General features: G+C 60.6%; 1 protein-coding gene across 4 annotated transcripts, besides 10 other annotated features; it reads right to left on the bottom strand.

Annotated features, from left to right (window-relative positions):
- On the bottom strand, nt 6-17,928 carry PLCB3 (phospholipase C beta 3). 4 transcript variants are annotated; one of them, NM_001316314.3, is made up of 32 exons: nt 17,710-17,928; nt 14,966-15,043; nt 14,642-14,710; nt 14,420-14,560; nt 14,145-14,224; nt 14,009-14,062; nt 13,842-13,917; nt 13,637-13,737; nt 12,916-13,082; nt 12,694-12,840; nt 10,745-10,985; nt 10,489-10,573; nt 10,214-10,400; nt 9,224-9,429; nt 7,962-8,058; nt 7,793-7,877; nt 7,382-7,506; nt 6,897-7,051; nt 6,650-6,811; nt 5,861-5,960; nt 5,663-5,767; nt 5,346-5,437; nt 4,354-4,507; nt 4,231-4,266; nt 3,956-4,148; nt 3,419-3,572; nt 3,256-3,332; nt 3,054-3,143; nt 2,906-2,963; nt 2,187-2,273; nt 1,888-2,105; nt 60-954 (listed from the first exon to the last, which is right to left on the bottom strand). In NM_001316314.3, the coding sequence occupies exons 1-31, from the start codon at nt 17,806-17,808 to the stop codon at nt 1,902-1,904; spliced, it is 3,705 nt and encodes a 1,234-aa protein (NP_001303243.1). In that variant the 5' UTR covers nt 17,809-17,928; the 3' UTR covers nt 60-954; nt 1,888-1,901. The 4 variants fall into 4 exon arrangements, with proteins under 4 accessions (NP_001171812.1, NP_001303243.1, NP_000923.1 ...); NM_000932.5 differs by lacking the exon at nt 60-954 and having other exon boundaries at nt 1,535-2,105; NM_001184883.2 differs by lacking the exons at nt 14,642-14,710; nt 14,966-15,043 and having other exon boundaries at nt 6-2,105; nt 14,420-14,506.
- Nucleotides 9,417-9,516: an enhancer, noted in NCBI's record as "active region_4893". NCBI's record gives its function as "activates an Ori minimal core promoter by ATAC-STARR-seq in GM12878 lymphoblastoid cells {active_cell/tissue: GM12878}" and the evidence as "EXISTENCE:reporter gene assay evidence [ECO:0000049][PMID:35858748]".
- Nucleotides 9,557-9,606: an enhancer, noted in NCBI's record as "active region_4892". NCBI's record gives its function as "activates an Ori minimal core promoter by ATAC-STARR-seq in GM12878 lymphoblastoid cells {active_cell/tissue: GM12878}" and the evidence as "EXISTENCE:reporter gene assay evidence [ECO:0000049][PMID:35858748]".
- Nucleotides 16,549-17,195: an enhancer, noted in NCBI's record as "H3K4me1 hESC enhancer chr11:64019735-64020381 (GRCh37/hg19 assembly coordinates)". NCBI's record gives its function as "activates a minimal SCP1, AML or CMV promoter by ChIP-STARR-seq in naive H9 embryonic stem cells {active_cell/tissue: H9 hESC(naive)}" and the evidence as "EXISTENCE:reporter gene assay evidence [ECO:0000049][PMID:30033119]".
- Nucleotides 16,946-17,159: a silencer, noted in NCBI's record as "fragment chr11:64019771-64019984 (GRCh37/hg19 assembly coordinates)". NCBI's record gives its function as "represses an EF-1alpha promoter that drives an FKBP-Casp9 reporter gene in an ReSE screen in K562 erythroleukemia cells {active_cell/tissue: K562}" and the evidence as "EXISTENCE:reporter gene assay evidence [ECO:0000049][PMID:32094911]".
- Nucleotides 17,196-17,841: an enhancer, noted in NCBI's record as "H3K27ac-H3K4me1 hESC enhancer chr11:64019089-64019734 (GRCh37/hg19 assembly coordinates)". NCBI's record gives its function as "activates a minimal SCP1, AML or CMV promoter by ChIP-STARR-seq in naive H9 embryonic stem cells {active_cell/tissue: H9 hESC(naive)}" and the evidence as "EXISTENCE:reporter gene assay evidence [ECO:0000049][PMID:30033119]".
- Nucleotides 17,196-18,116: a biological region, named in NCBI's record as "H3K27ac-H3K4me1 hESC enhancer GRCh37_chr11:64019089-64019734".
- Nucleotides 17,647-18,116: a silencer, noted in NCBI's record as "silent region_3472". NCBI's record gives its function as "represses an Ori minimal core promoter by ATAC-STARR-seq in GM12878 lymphoblastoid cells {active_cell/tissue: GM12878}" and the evidence as "EXISTENCE:reporter gene assay evidence [ECO:0000049][PMID:35858748]".
- Nucleotides 19,136-19,783: an enhancer, noted in NCBI's record as "NANOG-H3K27ac-H3K4me1 hESC enhancer chr11:64017147-64017794 (GRCh37/hg19 assembly coordinates)". NCBI's record gives its function as "activates a minimal SCP1, AML or CMV promoter by ChIP-STARR-seq in naive and primed H9 embryonic stem cells {active_cell/tissue: H9 hESC(naive and primed)}" and the evidence as "EXISTENCE:reporter gene assay evidence [ECO:0000049][PMID:30033119]".
- Nucleotides 19,784-20,429: an enhancer, noted in NCBI's record as "NANOG-H3K27ac-H3K4me1 hESC enhancer chr11:64016501-64017146 (GRCh37/hg19 assembly coordinates)". NCBI's record gives its function as "activates a minimal SCP1, AML or CMV promoter by ChIP-STARR-seq in naive and primed H9 embryonic stem cells {active_cell/tissue: H9 hESC(naive and primed)}" and the evidence as "EXISTENCE:reporter gene assay evidence [ECO:0000049][PMID:30033119]".
- Nucleotides 20,430-21,077: an enhancer, noted in NCBI's record as "H3K27ac-H3K4me1 hESC enhancer chr11:64015853-64016500 (GRCh37/hg19 assembly coordinates)". NCBI's record gives its function as "activates a minimal SCP1, AML or CMV promoter by ChIP-STARR-seq in primed H9 embryonic stem cells {active_cell/tissue: H9 hESC(primed)}" and the evidence as "EXISTENCE:reporter gene assay evidence [ECO:0000049][PMID:30033119]".

Here is a 21,185-nt window from a genome sequence, read left to right as displayed (position 1 = left end):
GCAGCAGCGCGGTCGCTGGAAACTGAGGCTTCATGCGGGGACCCGGACAGAGCGGGGGCTCCGTTCCAGAAAGATTTATTGGCGCCCCCTATAACCCGGGCCGGTTCTTGGTGCCGGGCACAGAGATGCATTGCGCCACGGCCCTGCTCGCGGAAGCTCCCGAGGGCCCGGAATCGGCAGGGCAGTCAGAGAGGGCTTCAGGGAGGAGGCAGCTAGAGCTGCGACCGGAAGGTGAGGTGAGGGTCATCCCCCCCGGCGCAAGGAGGAGTGGACCCATGGAAGGACAGGGGAGCAGCAGAGGCCAGGCTTCTAGGGGCTGGAATGTCACACCCAGAAGTTAGACATTCAGCTGGTATTTGAGGACCTGGGAACTGACTTGGAGTGTGTCCCTCAGTGGACACCAGCTAGAGTCAGGAAGGTGGGAGTTGGCTGCTGAGGAGCCTAGATACGGAATACACTGGAGTGAGCAGAACTGGGGGATAGGGCAGCGTCCCACAGAAGAAGTGAGGAAGTCTGGGGCCATTGCATTGACCCTGAGGGAGGAGGGCCCTACTCCGGAGCCTGTTTCCCTGGCCTCCCCACCCCATCTGTTTGCCTGAGGCTGCAGCAAAAACAAAGCAAAGAAGATACTCAATTGGCAGGAGATAAGCCCAGATAAGAGGCCGCCTTCCCCTGGAGGAGGGATGCAGGCGGGCAGCCTGGGAAGAGCCAGGAAGCTGGGAGAGGCCTTGAAGAGGTGCCAAGCCGACCCTGCTGCGAGCCCAGCCCCGCCCTGGAGCCCGCACTGTGGGCTCTCTGCCACTTTTCGCTGGTCTTGAGGCATGGGACAGGTCCAGGCTGGCTGAAGACAGTCCACCACGGAGGGTCCAGGCCTGCCCTGCCTCCAGGTCAGGACGTCTTGACTTAGCTGTGGCCTAGCACACGACAGATGGCTCCGGGCCTCAGTCTCCTCATCTGTAAAACAGGCATAACATCTCCCTCACAGGGATGAGGGGATGCTGGGTGGCCCAGCCCCTGCGTGTCTGTGACTGTCCACTTCCCTTCCCCCAGAGTCACAGGCAGGCCTACTGCCCACCTATTTCTGAAGACCCAGGTCCCCCGGTGTTGGGCAGGTTCTGAGCTGCCCTGCTCCACCCTGGCCGATCCATCACCTGATAGAGTCAACTGCCTGTCGGGGGCCCAGAGCAGCCCCAGCGGAAGATACTAGGCGTTTGGGTCATATCAGGCCACAGGAAGCGGGGCAGGGAAGGCTTCCTGAAGCAGAGGCCTGAGCCTCAGAAAAGAGAGAACAGGGAGAGCCTCGGAGAGACGAAAGTCATGGGGATGGGGGAACAGGAACAGCGGCTTGGGGGCAGAGGGCACAAGCAGAAGGCCACGGAAGCTCAGCAGACTCGGCAGGGCAAGCTCAGGTTCAACCCAGCAGCCCTTGGCTGGAGGCGTGACCTCAACCCCACCAAATGCCCAAAGTCCATTTTATAGATGAGGAAACTTAGGGCCCAGAGTCCTGTCACCCCAAATCACACTGCACACAGGGTCCCTGAAATCCACTTTTATTCATGTAAAAAAAATCCCCAAAGAATAGAGAAAAAAATGTGACTCCTACTTCCCGGAGCTCCAAGTCTCCAGCCAGCTCTCCCGGGGAAGGGAGGAGACGCTGCTAGCTCGAGGGTGTGGGTGTCACAGGGAGCAAAGCCCTGACCAAGGCCCTAACCTAAGACTGAGGGCAGGAAGGAGGGGCCCCAGGAGGATGAAGGGAGTTAGCTGAGGTACTTGCCCCGGGTTTAAAAAAATAAAATTTCTAGATAAAAAGTTAAAAAAAAAAAAAAAAAGCATTAGTGTCATTGCCTCCTGCCCTCCACCCAGCGCCCGCCCTGGCCCTGTGGCCACCTCGCTCAGCCAGTTCAGAGCTGCGTGTTCTCCTCCTGGCTCTCCGAGTCAGCGCCCGACAGGTGCCCGCTGCTCCCGGGTGCGTGACCGTTGCTGGCACAGGCCACCAGAGGCCCGTCCCCCAGCCCCTCCGGCATCTCGCCCAGCAGGCTCCGGCGGATCTCCTGGGGGAGCCTCGCCCGCTGCTCCTGACACTCCTGGGCCAGCTGGGCCAGCAGCTGTGGGAGAAGGATGGGCATCACAGGCGAGGCCTGGCTGCCTTGCACCCCGTCTGCCCACCTGTTCGCCCATGGCCTCACCTTGGGCTCCTCTTCTGCCAGCTGTTGCAGGACCTGCTGCTGCCCAGCCACAAGACGGTCATGCCGCTGCTTCTGGGCCTCCTCCAGCTACAGGGGTGGGCAAGGGCTCAGCTGAGGGGCCCTGAGGGAGGGGCTAGAGCCTCGAGGCTCTGGCTGGGTATAGAAGTCAGGTGGGCGAGGCCGGGTGCAGTGGCTCACATCTATAATCCCAGCACTTTGGGAGGCCAAGGCGGGCGGATCACCTGAGGTCAGGAGTTCGAGAACAGCCTGGCCAACATGGTGAAACCCCATCTCTACTAAAAATAAAAAAATTAGCCAGGCATGGTGGCGGATGCCTGTAATCCCAGCTACTCGGGAGGCTGAGGCAAGAGAATTGCTTGAACCCAAGAGGTTGCAGTGAGCCAAGATCGCGCCACTGCACTCCAGCCTGGGCGACAGAGTGAGACTCTGTCTCAAAGAAAAAGAAGTCAGGTGGGCGAAGGCTCCCAGGGCAATGTATCAGGGTTGTGAGAGGACTGGGCCCAAGGACGCCAAAGCCAGGGACACTGGTACAGACAGTTGGCTTTGGGTATGATGTGGGTACCCTGGGGCTGTTGGGCACTTGAGAAAGGCCCTAGAAGAACCTTGAGGGCAACGTGGCACCAGGCCAGGCATGGAGATGGGTGTCTGATGAGTGAAGGAAGGGAGGTGGGGTAGGGTGGCCCGGGAGCCTGACTCACCCGACGGATGGAGTTGACTGACTCAGTGATGTGCCGACGGTTAATCTCCGTCAGTTCCCTGCACGGGAGCAACGCAGGATGGCTCGGGGCCCAGACACCTGCCCTGCCTCCCCAGTACCCAGATGGCCCCCGGTCCCGGTGCCCTTACGCCTCCTTCTTATGCTTGTCCCTCATCTTGGCCTCCGAGATGCTGTTATGGCGCTTTCTGTCCAGGATCTTCTGCAGCTCCTTCTTCTCCCTGGAGAAGCCGGCAGGGGAAGAGGAGGGGTCAGCGGCAGAAGCACAGACTCTGCCCTCCTTCTGGTACTAGAAGTCCCCAGCCCTTCCCATAGACAATCCTCGGCTTTCACCTCTCGTTCATCTCTTTCAGCCTCTTGAACTGAGTTGTGTTTGCATCAAGGACGACCTCCCTGAGCCGCTGCAGAGCCTGTGGACACAGGGAGCTGACAGGTGATGCCGGGCTGACGACGGGTCTATCCAGCAGGCTTTCCCTGGCCACTGCAGGCCCCCTACCTGTCTCAGGTGTTCCAGCCTCCGCTGGGCCTCTGCGTCCACCTGGGCCTCCCGCAGCTCCAGCAGGCTCTGCACCTGTCTGTTCTGGAACTCCTGATACCGCTTTGCCTCGTCCTCCCCCTCCTTCGTGTCCTCCACATCAGCGGCCCCACCTCTGCGAGGAGAACCCCTCTGGGTGATGCCTGGGCCCGTCACATGGACTGGGATGGGGAGGGTGTGTAGGGGGGCACATCCTGGCAAGCGATGGCAGACACCATCCCATGGGGCCAGGTCTGTTATGCAAACCAGGAGGCCTGTTAGCTCCACCCAAGTGATGGGAGCCTGTTTGGGCAACATGCTCCTCATGGACTTCAAAAGAGATGTCACTCCCTGGGGGACACAGGGACGCCTGGTGTGGAAAGCCTCCTCCATCCTTGCACTGAACCCTCCTCCCTGGGGGTCAAGGAGCAGCTCTTGCCATCTCTCCATGCCCACCGACCCCCATGTTCACATCAGCACACCCAGCACACATAGCACACAGGCGGCCCAGACACTCACAGGGCACCTGGCCGCAGCCGGCACCTGCCCTCAGCCTGTGCCTGAGCCAGGCCATCCAGCAGGCGGCGGGTGAGGGTGACTGCCTTCCGCTGATGCTTCTTGCGCAGCTCCCGCAGGTCTCGCTCTTGCCGGCTCCGGAGCTTGACCAGAGCCTTGTGACCTCGGAGCTCATCCAGCGGGGTGGGGGCCACCTCTGGGAGCGGCAGAGCAAAGGTGGGCGGGGGGTGGGGGAACCTGCAAGGCAGCCCCCTGCCTCCAGGTACCCCGCCCCCTACCTGAGAGGATGCTGGCGATGAGATCATCACGCTGCCCTGGGGAGCAGAGGCCCTGTGAGGAGCTGGAGGACAGGGTGGGGGGTGCCTCCCTGCAGCCCACCCCCGACCCAGGCCACTCCTTACCTGGGCTGCTGAGGGAGGTGCTGGCAGGGGAGGTGGTGGGGCCAGGGGGCCGGCGGGGGGAGGCATCCAGTGGGCTGGGGGTGGGGTTTGAGGACGGCTGAGACCCCAGCTGCTGAGACTGGGTGTCCTGGCACGTCTCTTGGCCAGCCTGAGCCTATAGGGAGAAAGGAGAATGCTCTTTTCAGAAATGCTGTTCCCTCCAGACCCTTCTGTCCTCTACCACCTCCTGGGTCCCCTAGCACCCCTGTCAGCCTCCCTTAGTCCAAGCCACTGCTGGACTGCTCTGTAACAGGAGGCTGTCTGCATGAGAAGAGCTATAAATCAAGCCTTTCTAAACCCCTTTTCCACATGGGCTGTGGGGAAGATAACATAATGCCAGCCCACTGCATGTGCTCAGTAACTCCCAGATTGTTCTGGAAAGGCCTGGCCCAGCCCCAAGCCTCCTCTCCTCCCCTGCCTGTGTCCCCCAGCCTTGCCTACAGTCGCTCATTTTCCTTGCTGCTGAGCTCCTGATTAAATCAACAGAGGACTCAACCGCAGAGTGGGCACCAGCCTCTCCGCTAACAGCTCCAGGCAGCCCTAATTGCAGTCATCTCTCCCCGCCCGCCTGCCGCAGGCCCTGGGGGGACTGGATCTGGAAGCGCAGGTGAACCTCCGTGCCTGACCCCTCCCCACGGAAGCCACTGCCCTCCTCATGACTCCCAGGACACCACGTCTGAACAGCTTCTGTGGCTTCGCACTGCCCTGATGAAGTGGCTGAGACCCCTGTACCCCCACTCCAAGCCTACATGGAGCTGGAGGAATTCCAGCCCAGGTGTGACCTGAAGGCCTCCTGAATGCAAATGGGTGGTTTTCATCTCCTCAAAATCCCAGGGCTGCCAAGCCTACTGCGCTAGAGAGACCAGAAGCCCCCTCCTCATGTGGCCACAGCAGTCATGTCCAGCGGCCCCCTGGGTCACAGTGAGCCTGAGCCCTGCCCTGCCCCGGCTCACCTCACTCTCCCCAATGAGGGCGGCCAGCTGCCGGGCCCTCTGGTCCATCAGGCTGACGTGCTTAATGGGGTTGATCAGGGCCTCCGCATAGTCTGGGGGGAGGCAGAAGGCCAAGGTCTCAGAGACAGAGCCCCCAGGCCACCCCCACCCGCCACCTCTGGTCTCAATGAGGAATTCCAGAGCTTGTCCTCAGATCTGTTCCCTACTCAGTTCCCTACTCAGTCGGGGCCATCCAGCTCGGCCACTCCCAGGCCCTGGGGGTGGCCCTTGTCCCTCACACTCCCTGGCCAGGCAGGCCCCGCCCACCCCCAGCTCACCCTGGTGGTCGTCAGGAATGTAGTCCGAGGCTTCGGTGTAGATGAGCAGGGCCGGCAGGCACAGCGGTTGGTTGGCCTCGTTCCGCAGGCAGACGTAGTGGTATCCTGGGTGGTCAGGAAGGCAACGTTGGGTTGCTGGGCCAGGTGGGGGCCCTACCCACTGCCCGCTGTGCTGCCCAGAGCCCACCAAGGCCTCACCGGAGCGGATGGCAGAGACAGGCAGGATCCGGTGCCCTACGAATTTACCCCCCTCCTCAAAGGCTGCAATGCGAAGTGAAGCCAGCGTGGGCAGCACCACCTGTGGGCCAGACTGGAGCTGAGCCACAGGGCTGACCCTGGGCCACTGTGGCTACCAGGCCACAGCTAACCACAGCCATCAAAGCTTAACAAAGCAGACCTTCAGACGAGCTGACCTACTGACCATCAGTCACCATTGCCACTAAGCTGATGGCTGACCCCACTTCCATGTCCTGGCCTAATGGATGACTGCAGCCATCAGGACCCTGAGGCAAGATGACAGGCAGCCAGGCCCCTCCAGGGCCCCCACAGACAGTTCTGGTCATTGCCAGTTTAGAAACGGGAGTGAGTCATGAGCAGGAAACCAAGAACACACATGCCCAGGCTGGGAGCAGAGGCCGCGTCCATGCAGGGCCGTGCGGGGTGCTGAAGAGCGGATATGAGCTTGGGGTTGTGACCTCAGCTCCTGCCTCGGAGACAGGGTAGGCTGTGTCCACTCCTCGCAGGGGACACAAGACGTCTAGCTGACACCCCCCAACCCCCATCTCACCTTCTCACCCTGGTCTCTTACCCTAAGGAGGGCAGGGAGACTGACGCTCGGACAGGCAGGTCCTGGGGGACCCATGGCACCCCCCACTTTCTGATCCCCAGTCGCCAACGGTGTGCCTGGTTCCTGTTCTCCCACCTGAGAGTCGGGGCGGTCTGGGCTGGATCTGCCTGTGCCTGGGCGGGTGCAGGGGCCAGGCTCACCTTGGGGAAGTCGAAGGGCTCTTCGTCCCACACGGGGTTGAACGAGTTCCCCTGAGAGGTCCGGGTGCGGTACTTGCGCCGCGTATCAACAGGGAGGCCAAACATGTCCACCTCCACGTAGATGCCCACCTTCCTGTCGGACAGGAACTGCCCTGAGATCACCTGGGGGTGGGCCAAGGAGGGTGAGGCGGATGCTGAGAGTCCTGCCCCCAGGACACCCCTGGCCTGAGCCGCCCGCAAGCCCCACCTTGACCCGCAAGGCATTGGCCACGATGCCATCCACGATGACCTCAGTGAAGGGGTCGAAGGACTTGTCCGGCCGCCGCATGAACTCCGGCTTGAGCAGGTACCCGCTGCGCCCGTTGTACTCAAAAACGCCCGCGTTGAGCTGCATCGCCACATCTGGGGTGCCACGGGCACGTCGAGCAGGGGCAGGGATCAGGCAGGACGGTGCCATGTGGGGAATGGGAGATCATCAGGTCAGATGGCATCCAAGGTCCAGGGTCAGGGGCGGGCTCAAATGGCATCAGGGTCCGGATCCAGGACAGATCAGACAGGGGAGGGGTCTGGTATCAGCCAAGGGCAGGAGGCGGGGTGAGTCGGGAGCTGGGTTCCCCTGGGATCTGGGATGAGACAGGGTCAGAGGTCCATTCAGGCAAGACCAGCAGGATCGTGGGTCAGAAGTCAGTAAGACTGAGGGTCGGGGTCAAGATGGAGGGGGCCAGGGCTCACCGAGGGTCTGGAAGTTGAGCGCAACAAGCTGGCACCCTACGTTCCAGAAGAGCTGGGGCATGTAGTTGGAGGAGTCCACGCGGGTGCCCTTGGGGTAGATGCGGCTGAGCTGCTGCTTGTTGTATCTGAGATTGGTGGTCAGGGGCCACACAGGTGCCAGGGCCCACCCCATCAGCCTCCACCTCCGGCCTCAGCCAGGTGCTCCTGTGACCCCCACACCCGGCCTCTGTTTCTTAGCCTAGCCATGCCCCCTGAGACTGCCTGGATCTGCCCAAGCCCCAGGCCAGGGTGCAGGAGGGCCGCCGGAGGGCCAGCACCCTGTGCAGGTGGCATATGTGGGGACAGAACACCGGAGCCGGCCTCCGAGCGCCCCACCCTGGCCTGCCCGCCCACAGCACCTTCAAAGGATACTCCACAAACTCCATGGGGCTCTTGGTCAGTTGCTCCATGGCCTTGGTCTCCACAAAGGACGACATCTCGAAGCATTTGTTCCTCTCTTAGGGGTGAGCCAAGAAAGGGCGTCAGACCTGGCAGGGCTGAGCTGGGCAAGCTCCCATGCCTGCCACCCACCCCCACTCACTTCGAGCAGCCTCAAAGGACTTGAACTTGACAGGTTCGATGTAGTTGACAAGCGTGGACATCTCCTCAGTGGCATTCACCTCGCTGCTGGCTGTGCCCTGTGGGCCCCAACCCAGGGTCAGCAGTGCCATTCCCGCCACAGCTGGCCATTCCCTCACCTGCCCCCCATGAAGGAGGTGCTGACCCTCTTCCCAGCACTATATACACACTGCTGGTGGTGCCGACAGTCTTCTCCCCGGGGTCTCACTGATGCGCCCTGGACACCACCCAGCTCAAGCAATTTTCCTGCCTCAGCCTCCCAAGTAGCTGGGATTACAGGCGCCCGCCACCTTGCCCGGCTAATTTATGTATTTTTAGTAGAGATGGGGTTTCACCATGTTGGCCAGGCTGGTCTGGAACCTCCCAACCTCAGGTGACTCGCCCACCTCAGCCTCCCAAAGTGCTGGGATTACAGGCATGAGCCACCTCGCCTGGCCCATATAGGTGTTATAATTATCATTACTTTTACTGAATCATTTGGGAGTAAATTATAGACATCATGACCCTTTACCCATAAATACTTCAGCATATATGGACATTCTCTTCTATAACTCCAATACAATAATTAAATTCAGGAAACAAAACATTAACATATTATCTAATATGTAGTCCATCTTTAAATTTCACTAATTGCTCCAGTAATTGTCTTTATAGCAATGATGTCTTTTTTTTTTTTTTTTTTTTTTGAGATAGTGTCTCCCTTTTTAGCCCACGTTGGAGTGCAATGGTGCAATCTCAGCTCACTGCAACCTCCACCTCCCAGGTTCAAGGGATTCTCATGCCTCAGCCTCCCGAGTAGCTGGGATCACAGGTGTGAGCCACCACGCCCAGCTCAGACTGATTTTTTCTGTACCATTCCTCACAGCTACTCAATGCTCCCCATGACAATGCTCCCCGCTCCTGCACCCCCTGGCCCTGCCCCAGGACCTTTGTACATGCTGTCCCCCTTCCTGAGGTCTCCCTGCCCCACCTCCCTGCCCAGGGTAGACTCCCTATCCTCTGCCAGTTCTGTACCCTAACTCGCACCTCCCAGGCCACATCACCAGCAGAACTGTATGCTTGTTTCCATGCCTGATGACTGAAGAGCCCTCCTCCCACCTTCACTCACACCCACACTGAGCCCCAGGAGGCAGGGGTGATGTCAGTCTTGTTGATGGTCAGACCCAGCCCCCTGGGAGGTAAATAGATGCTACCTCCCCGACCTGCCCACCCTGTGGGCCTGACCTCATCTGTAGTTGGCTTTTTGGGGTCTGTCTGTTCCTCCTCTTCCTCATCTTCCTCCTCATCCTCACGGTCAGCAGGTCCAAGAACATAGGGGCCTCGGTTCAGGCCCTCGTCACCCAGAGACTTCTGAGGCTCCAGGCTGGGCTTCTCAAGCCCTACCTCCTCCCCATTGCTCAGGCCTGGGCAGCTGTCAGAGCTGGGAGACCCTGCAGAGGACAGGGCCACAGGGTGAGGGGTCAGGACCACACAGCTGCTTAGGAAGTCTGGAGGGGTTTTTCCCAGTGTGTGCCGAGGTGACTCAGTGGGGAATTCAAGGGGTACTCTCAGGGCAGTGTGGCTTGGGGAGAGGCCAAGAGGTCGAGGTCAGATGGTATTAACCCAGTATGGGTTGAGAGGGGTCATAGGTCAAAGGTAAAGGTCTGCAGTGATATTCAGCAGGGAGGCAGATAGGGTGGTTCAGTGGGGTGAGAAGTCAGGAAGTAGCATACCACAGCCCTAATAGCGGGGTAAGGGATGACATAGAGAGGTTACAGGTCAGGGGTAAGTCAGAGCCATGTCTAAGGAGGGGGCATAGTGAGGTGAACAGTCAGGGGTGAGAGGTCAGAGGTCAGCTGAAATGATAACCAACTGGGCAGGTGAACTCAATGCGGGCTTAGGGGTCTGAGGTCACACCCAGTGTGGGATGTGGTTTACTGAGGTCAGAGGTCAGCCTTCAGAGCCATCACCGGGTTGTGGGAAGGCTCTGAGAGGTGAGAGGCTGAGGTTGGGAGTCAGGAGTTGGGGTGCAGCTGGGTGAGACGTGCACCTGAGGTCAGGGGTCAGAGGCCCCACACCAGCCGACAGGTGGTGAGGAGACAGGCCGGTTGTGGGAACAGGCGCACAGCGAGGCAGGAGGGTGGGCTGGGGGTCTGGGATGAAGTGTCACGGCGCCTGGAGCATGAGGCCAGAGGCTAGGGTCAAGTCAGGGTGGCGGGCCGGGCTGGGGCCTACCCAGCTGCGGGGAGGAGGGCTCGGTGGCCGCGGAGCTCTCGCTCAGGGCAGAATTGCTCTGCTCCAGGGGCCGCTTGCGCCCGGCGCTGTCTGGGCCACCTGCGCTGGGTCGGTGCCGCTTCTTGTTCTTCACCAGGATACGGCCCATCAGGTCCTGGGGGCTGGGCAGGGGAACGCCTGGGGCCAGCTGGGCAGGCATGGACGAGTCAGGGCCCTGGACCGGGTCCGCAGCACCCTGGCCCCCATGCCACCCCCCTCGCTCCGAGCTCCCGTACCGGGTACTTGTCCAGAGGCTCGATGAGTAGCGCGTCTCCAAAGATGGAGCGGCAGTACTCAGCCATCTTTGCCTGTTGCTTTGCCCTGCGGAACCGAGGTCAGAGGTCAGAGATCCCTCCCCCAGAGAGGAAGCTGAGGTCTACGGGACATGTCAGTGGCCGTTCGCAGGGTTGGAGGTCCCTGAGCAGTCCAACAGCACTGAAGCTGGAAGACTGTCCCCCGGTCCATGGGGTTTCATGCCAGGGGCTCACTCACGAGTCCACATGGTTCTCGAAGGAGAGGATGACGGGGTAGGGCGAGGTCTTGAAGGCAGTCTCGGCAATGGCCTCCAGCACGTCGCGCAGAGGCACCTCTGTGGTCATGGTGAAGCCGTGGGTAATGAAGGGTTCCTCCTCAGGCGGCCGTCCCTTCCACACGTCCAGCTCCACGCAGCGGCAGCCCCATAGTAGTGCCTGGCGGTACATCTCCACCGACGAGGTCCCAGCCAGCTGCCCCGCTGGGGCGGCGAGGCTCTGTCACCGAGGCCGCCCACCAGCCCAGCTCCTCACCACCCCGGCCCCACCTGGAACCAGGACATGCTGGATTTGCAGAGGGCTCTCCATCTCTCAGATGGATACCCACCACCTGTCCATCCCACCAGCGTGAGCTGGGGGGAGTCATCCCTGAGACTCACTATAGCTCCCCACTGCCTCAACAATCCCTCCCTCTCCTCACTCCCTCCACCCACCTCAGCCCTGGCACAGCTCACACCACCTCCTGTGTGGAAGACTCCAGCCCTCCCTGCCTCCAATCCAATCTCTTTTTTTTTTTTTTTTGAGACGGAACCTCGCTCTGTCACCCAGGCTGGAGTGCAGTGGCACAACCTCGGTTCACTGCAACCTCCGCCTCCCTGGTTCAAGCGATTCTCCTGCCTCAGCCTCCCGAGTAGCTGGGATTACAGTTGCCCACCACCATGCCTGGCTAATTTTTGTATTTTTAGTAGAGATGGGGTTTCACCATGTTGGCCAGGCTGGTCTCGAACTCCTGACCTCAGGTGATCCACACGCCTCAGCCTTTCAAAGTTCTGGGATTACAGGTGTGAACCACTGTGCCTGGCCTCAATCCAATCTCTATAGAGCACCTGGCATCATCCTTCTAAAAACATATCATATCAGGTCACATCACCTCTTCTGCTTCACCCTCCAAAAAGCCTCTTCCTCACACCCAGGATGAATCCAAGTGCCTCTAGGCCCCTGGGCTTAGCCCTGCCTTGCTCTCCCTCTCTTAGCAGGCACCTATCTCCAGCACTCTGCACCCTGCCGCACCAGCTTCCTTTCTGCTTTTTTATTATTTATTTAATTTTTTTTTTTAGAAAAGGGTCTCTCACTCTGTCACCCAGGCTGGAGTGCAGTGGTGCAATCACAGCTTACTCCTGCCTCAACCTTCCCAGAACCAAGCGATACTCCCACCTCACCCTCCCAAGCAGCTAGGACCACAGGCATGCGCCACTATGCCCAGCTAATTTTTTAAAAATTATTTGTAGAGATGGGGTCATGCTATGTTGCCCAGACTGGTCTCAAAACGTGGGCTCAAGTAATCTGCCTGCTTCAGCCTCCCAAAGTTCTGGGATTACAGGCATGAGTCACCGCACCCAACCCCCTTCCAGCCTCTTAAAAGCACCCTGCAGGCTGGGCGAGGTGGCTCATGCCTATAATCCCAGCACTTTGGGAGGGCGAGGCAGGCGGATCACCTGAGGTTGAGAGTTTGAGACCAGCCTGACCAACATGGAGAAACCCCATCTCTACTAAAAATACAAAATTAGCCGGGCGTGGTGGCGAATGCCTGTAATCCCAGCTACTTGGGAGGCTGAGGCAGGAGAATCGCTTGAACCTGGGAGGCAGAGGTTGCGCTGAGCCTAGATCGTGCCATTGCACTCCAGCCTGGGCAACAAGAGCGAAACTCTGTCTCAAAAAAAAAAAAAAAAAAAAAAAAGGACCCTGAAGTCTCTCCTGCTGCAGGCCCTAACACAAGCTGTTCCAGCCCTTCCCTGGGAAAGCCACCATGAGGCCCCACTGCTCAGGGCTGGCTGCCTGTTCCCTGCCTGCATCCCCAGCACTGGCCAATGAATGAGCAAATGGGCCAAAAGGACTGTGCCCCAGGAGGAGTGGGGCTGTGCAAGGGTCACAGGGCAGAGGTCACGGGTGCCACCCTTGCTCCCCACTCACCAGTGAGATAGGTGTTATGCGAGGAGTTGATGAAGTAGGCACTCAGTGGCTGGGTCATGTCCGTGCTCAGATCCAGGGCTTCCAGGGGCAGGATGCCATTCTCCTCGCCTCCCAGGTAGCGGCTAAAGCCCTCCATGGACATCTGGTCTGGGGTGGGAGAGGATCAGCAGGGTCAGCTGGGGTCCCACCTGCCCCCACCCACCTGCACCCCAGCCAGCTCACCTCGCTCCAGAAACTGCTGGTTGGGCTCATACTTTTCGATGAGCAGCCGGGCCTGGGAGGGCCGCAGGGGCGGGTACAGCACTTCGTTGAGTCTCGGGTCGCGTTGCTTCTGGTTGATGAAGTCCATGAGCTGCTCCAGCGTCAGGTATGGCTTGCCCTTGGCGCCTCTGGAGGGGACAGGAAGCTGGGTCAGGATGGAGCCTGGCAGGGCTCCCACCCCGTCGCCAAGCCCTTGCCCTGGGCAAGGGAGTCAGAAGGCCTGCCCCTGGATCTGGCACCCAGTGAGTGGGACTCTGGGTGAGTCATGGCCAACCTCTGGGCCTCAGTTTCCCCCTTTACTCTCCTGACTACTCAGGATTGTCAAGGCAGCAGACTAGTGGGCACCAGCAATGGCCAGGGCTTAGGAGCTGCCAAGTGGTCAGCCCACCACCCCTCGCTTCCAGACCTCACAACACACCTGAGGCTTGGACCCCATTGCAGAGTGGGCTGATTAAACCAACCCTGGCACAGGGTTAGCCCAGAGCTGCCTGTAACTGAGGGGCAGAAACGGCGGGTCTGAGTACAGGAACATCACCGACAGGTTCTCCCTGGGCACCCCTCCGCCCCCTGGCGCTCCAGGACCCGGCCCACCAGTTTCCCCTCTCCCCATTGAGCTAGAGGCACGCTAAGCAGAAGCTAAACACAGAGCACAGGGGTTGTGAGGCAGGCCGGGCCCACTCACATCTCCAGCAGGATCTTGTCAATGTCCGGCCGCAGACACAGCTTGTTCAGGAACCGCTCAAAGATTTCCAAGGAAAACTCATCAGGCCGGATGGACTCACTCTGGAGGTCGAGGAGTGTGGGGTGAGAAGCCAGGGGCGGGCAGCCCCGTAAGGGTGGGTGCCCACCGTGACACCCCACCCCGCCCCTGTCCCCACCCCACACACCCGGTTGAATTTGAGGCCACAGGATTCCAGCGCAGTCTCCACCCGCTTCTTGTCTGCTGAGAACATCTTCAGGATGCTGATGCGGGCAGGAGGGGTTCAGGGTCAGTGGAGGACAAAGGTCACCAAGGTCAGGGCAGGAGGAAGGTGCTGGGGGAAGGGGTGCTCACTTCTTGACGGGGATCCGACCATCCTGGTTCACCTGCAGCTTCAGCTTCGTGTATCTGGGAAGGCAGATGAAGAGGTCACACCCTGAAAACGGCCACGTGAACCCCCCGGCTCCCCCTCGGGTGGCCTGGGGCTCACGCTTTGCGCAGGAAGGTGTTCCGGGAGGCGTTCTGAGCCAGGATGTTCATAGCCAGCTTGAATAGCTCCTCAGACCAGACCTGGGGGGCCAGTATACACGGGGAGGCGGTGAGTGGGGGACACAGGGGCTGCCCAGCCACAACCCAGGTCCACAACTGCCTCTGGTACACAGTAGGTCACAGAGCAGCCTAGAACACAGCAGGTGTTCGGTAAGTGACGGCCGACTCACAGAATAAGACAGTGACTCCCCCTTCGTCCCCTTGGTGCCAGCCCACCTTGGCTGTGTCATCCTGCACGGCCATGAAGTTCAAGAACACTGTGTTCACTGGGTCTGGCCCAGACACCACCGTCATCAGCTTCTCCTCCAGCCGGGCATCGGGACCCCCAAAGCCCAGAACTTCCCGGATCTTGGGGTCCTGAGTAGGTGACAGCGAAGGGTGAAGAGGGGGCTCCCGCACAGCCTCGCTGTGGTCTTCACTCCCAGGCTCATCACTCACCTTGGGCAGGCGGGCGTACCGGCCTGTCCGTGTGTCCCTGATGGAACTGATGTCCAGTGTGTCCACCTCCTGGGGGGAACCAGATGCCAGGCTGAGTATGAGAGGCTGCAGGGCAATAGCCAGGAGCTTCCAAGCTCTCTACCCAGGCCAGGGAATGGCCAGCCCCTGGCTATAGCCCCAGCCTCAGCTCCTGCCCTGAGCACTTCCTGTCTGGGCAGCAGTGGGAGAGGTCAGCCTGCAGCCGGGCCCCACCCCCACGGGCAGGGCAGGGGTCTGGGACAGGGGTCCTTGGCCTGAGCGAGCTGCACCAGCGCCCACCCTCACCATGTTGGGGCCCGTCCAGTACAAGAAGAAGCCATTGGGGTCCACACGCAGGGTCACCAGGTTCCGACTGGAGGTCTCCTGAGGACAGCACAGGGCAGCAGGGGTCAGGAAGTGAGGGCTGTGGTGCAGGCCTGGCCCCTGGGGCCCTCCCATCATGCACCCCAGAGTTCCTGCCCATGAGCTAAGACGAAACCTCATCCAGTCCACAGGTCCTGTGTGGCTGCCTGTGGCCCTCAGAACAAAGCCAAGGTCCTAGGTGTGACATTTAGTGTCACACCTACCTCAAAGCCTCTTCCCAGCCTCACCTCCCTCTGGCCCTAGGATTCTACCTGACCTTTCCCAGGGCTTTGTCTCATGTTCCCTTTGCCAGGACACCCTGCCCTTCCTTCTCCACCCGTGAAATCTGACCCACCCCCTGGAAGAGGTCCCCAGCCCCCATCCTGGGCTCAGTTTCCCCAGAAGTGCTGAGAGCTCTGTGACAGTGGCAGCCCCCCAATCCACCCCACTGCAGAATGTTTAAGGCATGAAAGTGAGAAGTCTGACTCCCACTGCCCTTCTGCATCCCTTGGGACATCACGATAGCCCTGTGGTCTGCCTCAAAGCCCATTATCCACCTTACCACATCTGCCGGGGTCCTCACAGCCTCAAAGCTCATCCCCATCTCGTAGAAGAACAGTCCCCCTAGAAGGGGACTTGCCCTACTCTCAGGACTGGGCAGTGAGCTCTTCCTCCCTCAAACAGCCGTGCAGCTGGCAGGGGGCAGGGAAGTGCATGCCAGCCCCATTTTCTAAGAAGGGCCCGGTCCCTGGCACACTACCAGGGCCACCCTGTGTGACTCAGGACCAGCAGCCAGAGGGGCTGTCCTCCAGGGCTTAGACTCGGCCAGGGCCAGAGTGAACAAGTGGCTACAGGTAGAACCCTCCTATTCCAGGTTCTTCCAGACAGAAAAGGACCCCACCTCATGTTGGGTGCCACCCCCAAAATGCATCTCAGTGTCTGGTGGACAATACTATTATTATCAATACATCTCATATACGCACACCGCCCCTACTGCGCACCAGGTACAGTTCTATGCACCTAGCATCTTCGAGCACACAAAGGCCTCCTAACCAGCCTAAGAGGCATGTGCTGTTGTCACTCCCATTTTACAGATGAGGACACTGAGTTACAGGGACACTTCGTAGCCTGCCCGAGATCACTGGAGCCAGGACCTGCTTGCAGGCAGTGTGGTTGCAGCGTCCTGTGACCTGGGAAGCAGGGAGCGGAGACTTCTGCCAGGCTCCCGGCTCCTGGCCTCAGCCACACCCCATTGTGGGGCCTGGGATAACTCTCTGCTTTCCAGACCTCAGTTTCCTCTTCTGGAGAATGGGGATTGCACCAGCCCCACCCATGGCAGGCTTTGCTTACAAAAGATGGGCGTTCATCTGGGAACAGAAGGCCCCCAAAATTTGGGGATGCATGGGCCTCCCCACTTCAGTGTGCTGACACCCAGCCCCAGCACTTCTCCGGATTCCCAACCCTACCCTGGGCCTGAGGCCCCCGAATGGTGTGCAGAGCGGGGAGTCTATGGGTACTGCCCCTAGTGTTTCCCTCCCACCTCTCCCCAGGGGTCTGGACCTCAAAGGCAGCCCAGGTCCCCTGCTCTCCTGCCCCAAGCCTCCGTCAGCACCCCCCACCCCACCCCCAGGGCCCTCTCCCTGTTCCCACTTCCTTATTTGGGTTTATCACAGTGGAATGAAAAGAAGAAACTTTTCCCTTCAGGCCAGCCTGGGGGGAGGGGTCTCCCCCGGCCCCTGGGGCCCCCAGGCACCCCACCTCGCACACCTGCCGCTTCAGGCCACGCCCCCATCTCCTCCCCCCAGCTCCCACGCCTACCCCGGGGCCCCACCCAGCCGGAAAAGAGCCCAGAGTCTTCCAGGCCCGTGGCCTGACTGGGAAGGAGCTGCGAGGAAGCTCAGGCCGGCCGGGTGGAGGCCCTAGGGAAGGAAGGGCCCAGGGGGCAGAAGAGGATGCACCCAGGATGGGGATGGGCAGCCGAAGGTGGGGACACAGGCATTTGGGAAGCACCAGGGGCAGGACAGGGAAAGGGGGGCCAGGATGTATTGGGGTTCAAGGTCCCAAGCCTAAGGAGTGGGGAGCAAAGTTCCCAGGGGTGGAGGAACTTGGGGGGCAAAGTCTCCACTAGGGGGTGACTGGGTGCTCCCATCTGAACAGGGAGCTGGGCTGGGATCCAGAAGCAGGGCGAAGGGGTGCCAACCAGAACAGGGGGAAAAATGATGAATGGACGAGGACTGTTCAGGCAGGGCACCGGGGAGAGTAGGGGCGCCCTGGCACACACCCAGAATGAGGATGCCCCCAGCCAGCCTGGAAGTCAGGGTCCTGCAGCCGGGGAGTCTAGTGCTGGGCAGGGGTCTGGGCACCAGGCCAGGATCGGGGAACGAGAATTAGTCTGGCAGGGAGCGGTGGGAAGAACGAATGGAAAACGGGGGGACGGGGTTTATTGGGGTTCAAAGTCTCTGCGCCAAGGAGTGGAGGCAAATTTTCCAGAGCTGAGGGACTGGGAGTTGGGGGGACAAAGTCTTCATTACGGAGACGATCGGGGACTTAAGTTTCCGGGGCGCCGCCAGACTGGGATGAGGGTGGCGCCACGGGCAGGCGAGGCTGGGGTGGGGGTCCCCAGCGTCTGGTCGAGCTTGACTGAAAGAGTCCCGGGATTTGGGCGGAGCAGGGGCCCGCGCGCTTACCTCGTCCCATTTGATGAACTTACTCCCGCGCCGCAGGGTCTCCACCACGGTGGGCGGCTCCAACTGCAGCGCGTGGACGCCGGGCTGGGCGCCCGCCATGGCCCGGCCAGGGGCGGGTCGGGGACCCACGGAGCCCTGACGGGGACCGACGGCGCCGCTGCTCCCACCGCGCGGCCCGCTCCGGCCCCGCGGCGTCAGTGCCCGCCCGCCCGCCAGTCTGTCCCGGACCGACCAGAGCCTCGGCGGGGCCCGGGCGGGGCGGGGACGGGGCGGGGCCTCCCGGGCCCCGCCCCCTCCCACCGCGTCGGCTCCCCCTGGCGGCCGGGGCGGCGACTGCAGCCGGAGCGGGGATTGGGGCAGGGGCACGCGGACGGGTCGGGGGCTTTGCTGCGGGGCTCAGCAGAACCTGATTCTTCAGGCCTGTGGTGGAAGGAGGGCGCTGGGGGCCGAAGTGGCTGTTGGGGAGCAGCTGGAGGGACTGGGTGTAGAGGGCGCTGCTTAAGGCGGTCCGGGATCAGCCCACTGAGGTTTCCGAGCGACTAGGGCTGCAGTACCAGCGGAGGGCTAGACTTGGGCCGGGGGGTCGCTGCACAGCCCTGTCGCCCACCCTCTTCTGCCGCACTTAGCTGAATGCAGGAAAAGCTTCTTCCGCCCCCCTCTGCCCTGGCTTCGCCTCACCCACTCTTATGCCGCGCGGTCCCCCCTCCCTGGGAGCACTTAGCCGGCTAATGGACCTCCCGCCGGCAGGCACCCCTCCCCCGTCCCTAGCCCAGGGAGGCCGGGCGCCTGCCACCTCCTTTAAGGACCCAAGCATCCTGGTCTTCGAGAGTGAGCCCTAGAACAGCCCCCTTCTTGTTGCTGCAGACTCCCATGACTGGAACCTGACTGTGAGCCTCTTGGCTGGGAACCGCGGGGGGAACGCTGTTGTCTGCCCAGAGGGGTCAGAAGCTTTGTGGATGTCCCCAGACAGGAGGGTTGAGGAGGGGCTCTGCAGTGCCTGGCCCACAGCAGGTGCCCTGAAATCTGCGTTCCAGAGATGGGAGCGGGGAAGGCGCATGGGCAATGGGATGGGTGGGGGCTGCAGCCCCTCCCGCAGGGCTTAGCTGGTGGGGGGGGTTCCTGCCTGGGGGCCCCTGTGGGAGCCCCCCCAATACAGAGGCAGTAACAGCAGCAGGTTTAAAGTAGAACTCATCCAGAGGGGCCAGCCAAGTCACCTAGAAACCCAGAAAGAGATGCAGCTGGCTCTGGGGGAGGAGGGGTCAGCAAAGGAGGAGCTCCCCTGCAGGCCCCTTTGCCCCAGGCTCTGAGACCTCCACAAGGAGCCCTGCCTGGCCCTGGCCTTCCTCCACACCCCGCCAAGTTCTCCATCAACTCTAACCTGGCGGATCTCCTCGCTCTCAGCCCTGGCCCTGTGGGGTGTGATTATGATCTCCACTTGAGGCCCAGAGAGGGGAAGGGACTTGCCCAAGGTCACACAGCTTCTTAGGAGGATTTCAACCCTCCGACTTCCTGAGGCCCAGGAGCCTCTAGACCTCATTGGGAAAACAGAACCATGCAAGGTGGAGCTTGGCCTCTGCCCTCACAGGCTGGAGTTCAAATCCGGCTCTTGCTAGCAGCCTCTTGCTAGTGGCAGAACCTAGTCTCTCTAGGTGCCTCAGTCACCTTGTCCAGAACCTAAAGGTTGTTGTATACATAAGCAAATGGGTGGGAGATGCCAAATTGACATGAGTAGCTGGAAGCTGTGGGTATACCAGGGAGGGAGGAAAGGGCATAGGTCAGCTCTGGGGCAGTGGAACCTCCAGCTTGTGCCAGGGCTAGCAAAGCCTGGAGCCAAGGCCTGAGCTTAGGGGATCTGAGCTGTGGGCCCTAGGCCTTGTGCAAGCGTACTTTAGAGAAGCATTGGGCAGCAGCTCCTTGTGGAAAAAAACAGGATGGGCACCTGTTTCCTGGGCTTAAGCCTCTCTCCTCCCCCAACCCTGTGTCTCTGGAGGCCAGGGCAGCCCCCATTACAGGGCTCCTTCCTTCCCAGACACTTTCTTCCATCCTTGGTAATGGTAATAGGGTATCTCAGCAGGCAGTAATGGTGAAGGCAGGCAGCCTTTCCGGACTCTACCCTTGATTGAAGGAGCGGTCTTGACCCACAGGACCCTCCCCAGAGCCTCTGCTTCAAGGATGCACTCTAATGGAGGGGGGCTGGGGCCCTGGAAGGGGTAGGGCTGGGGAGGCCACAGACTGAGGCTAGAAGGAGGAGGAGCAGTGGTACACTCCAGTCCCAGTAGGGCTCAGGCAGGAGGGCCAGGGCTGGGCATGGGCCCCCAACCACAGGAGGTCAGGACCATAAGCCCCCTGAAGAGGCTCTGAGCAGGTAAGTGACTTGCATACAGCCTCTCAGCCCATGGGGCAGAGCCAGGATTTGAACCCAGTATTTCTACTCCAAGGCTAAGGTTCTGTGGCCCAGCTTCCAAGAAGGTGGCAGGCCAGCATGCCCACCTGCACCAAGTGGTCTCGGGTGGATAGCCATGGGAACTGGACAGGAATCTGGGTGTGCCTGGGCATGGCGCGGTGGGGGGAAGAGGGAGAGTCAGAAAGAATGCCTGACCTGTGGACACGGACATGGCTGGAGACCTTCACACCAACCCTGAGGGAGGACAGACAGAAAGGTCAGGGCTCAGGGTCACAGCATCTTGGGGGCAGAGCTAGGGCTGGGGGTCTTCATGGCCTGCAGGCCCCACTTCCACAGAAGCTGTTGGGCATTAGGGGCTGTTTGAGGGTCTTCCCCCTTTAATCTGTGTGCACCCTCAAGGTACAAACAATGCTTGGGTTCAGAGGGAGCTGGCCTGGCCTGGTGGGGTGTGGTGGGGAATTTGGACTGGGGTAAAGTGATCCTCCTATCAGGCCAGGCTTAGGGCAGGAGGCCAGGCCACGGATAGGGCTCCCGGTGGAGAGGGTGGATCCTACCTAATCCGCAAGAGCGAGGGTCAGCCCTTCCTCGGCACCCAGACTGGCTGAAGGGAGGCTGAGGCCGGAGGAGGGGCACGGGAAGGGGAGGGGTCAGCTCACTCTACCCTTCCCTGAACTGAGCCCTGTGAGCCCATTGCCTTCACAATGCCCAGCCTCTGTCTTCTCTTGGTCTCTTCTCTCTGACTATAGGGCAAAGGAGGAGCCCAACATCCTGGGTTGGAGTTTGGATGCAGCCCCAGCTGTGTGACCCCGGGGCCAATCCCAATCCATCTCTGAACCCCACCCGCTGCAGAGGGCTTCCCCCCACAACATCCAAAGAGTGTCTTTGAGGGGCTGGAGCAGAAACATTGCCTCTCAGATCCAAGACCCTGTTTGGGGTGGCACAAGGTGAGCCTGCCTTCCACAGAAACATCCCCCGGGAGCTGCGCAGCCTTATTGGGTGGTGTCTACAGGGTAGTGAGGAGGTTGAGTAGAGACTTCGTGTCAGGGGGTTTGAGCCACACAGCCTGGGTTCA

The sequence above is a fragment of the Homo sapiens genome, chromosome 11 (genome assembly GCF_000001405.40).
Source record: "Homo sapiens chromosome 11, GRCh38.p14 Primary Assembly".
NCBI classification, from domain to species: Eukaryota; Metazoa; Chordata; class Mammalia; order Primates; family Hominidae; genus Homo; species Homo sapiens.
This window is presented reverse-complemented; position numbering and strand designations above follow the sequence as displayed.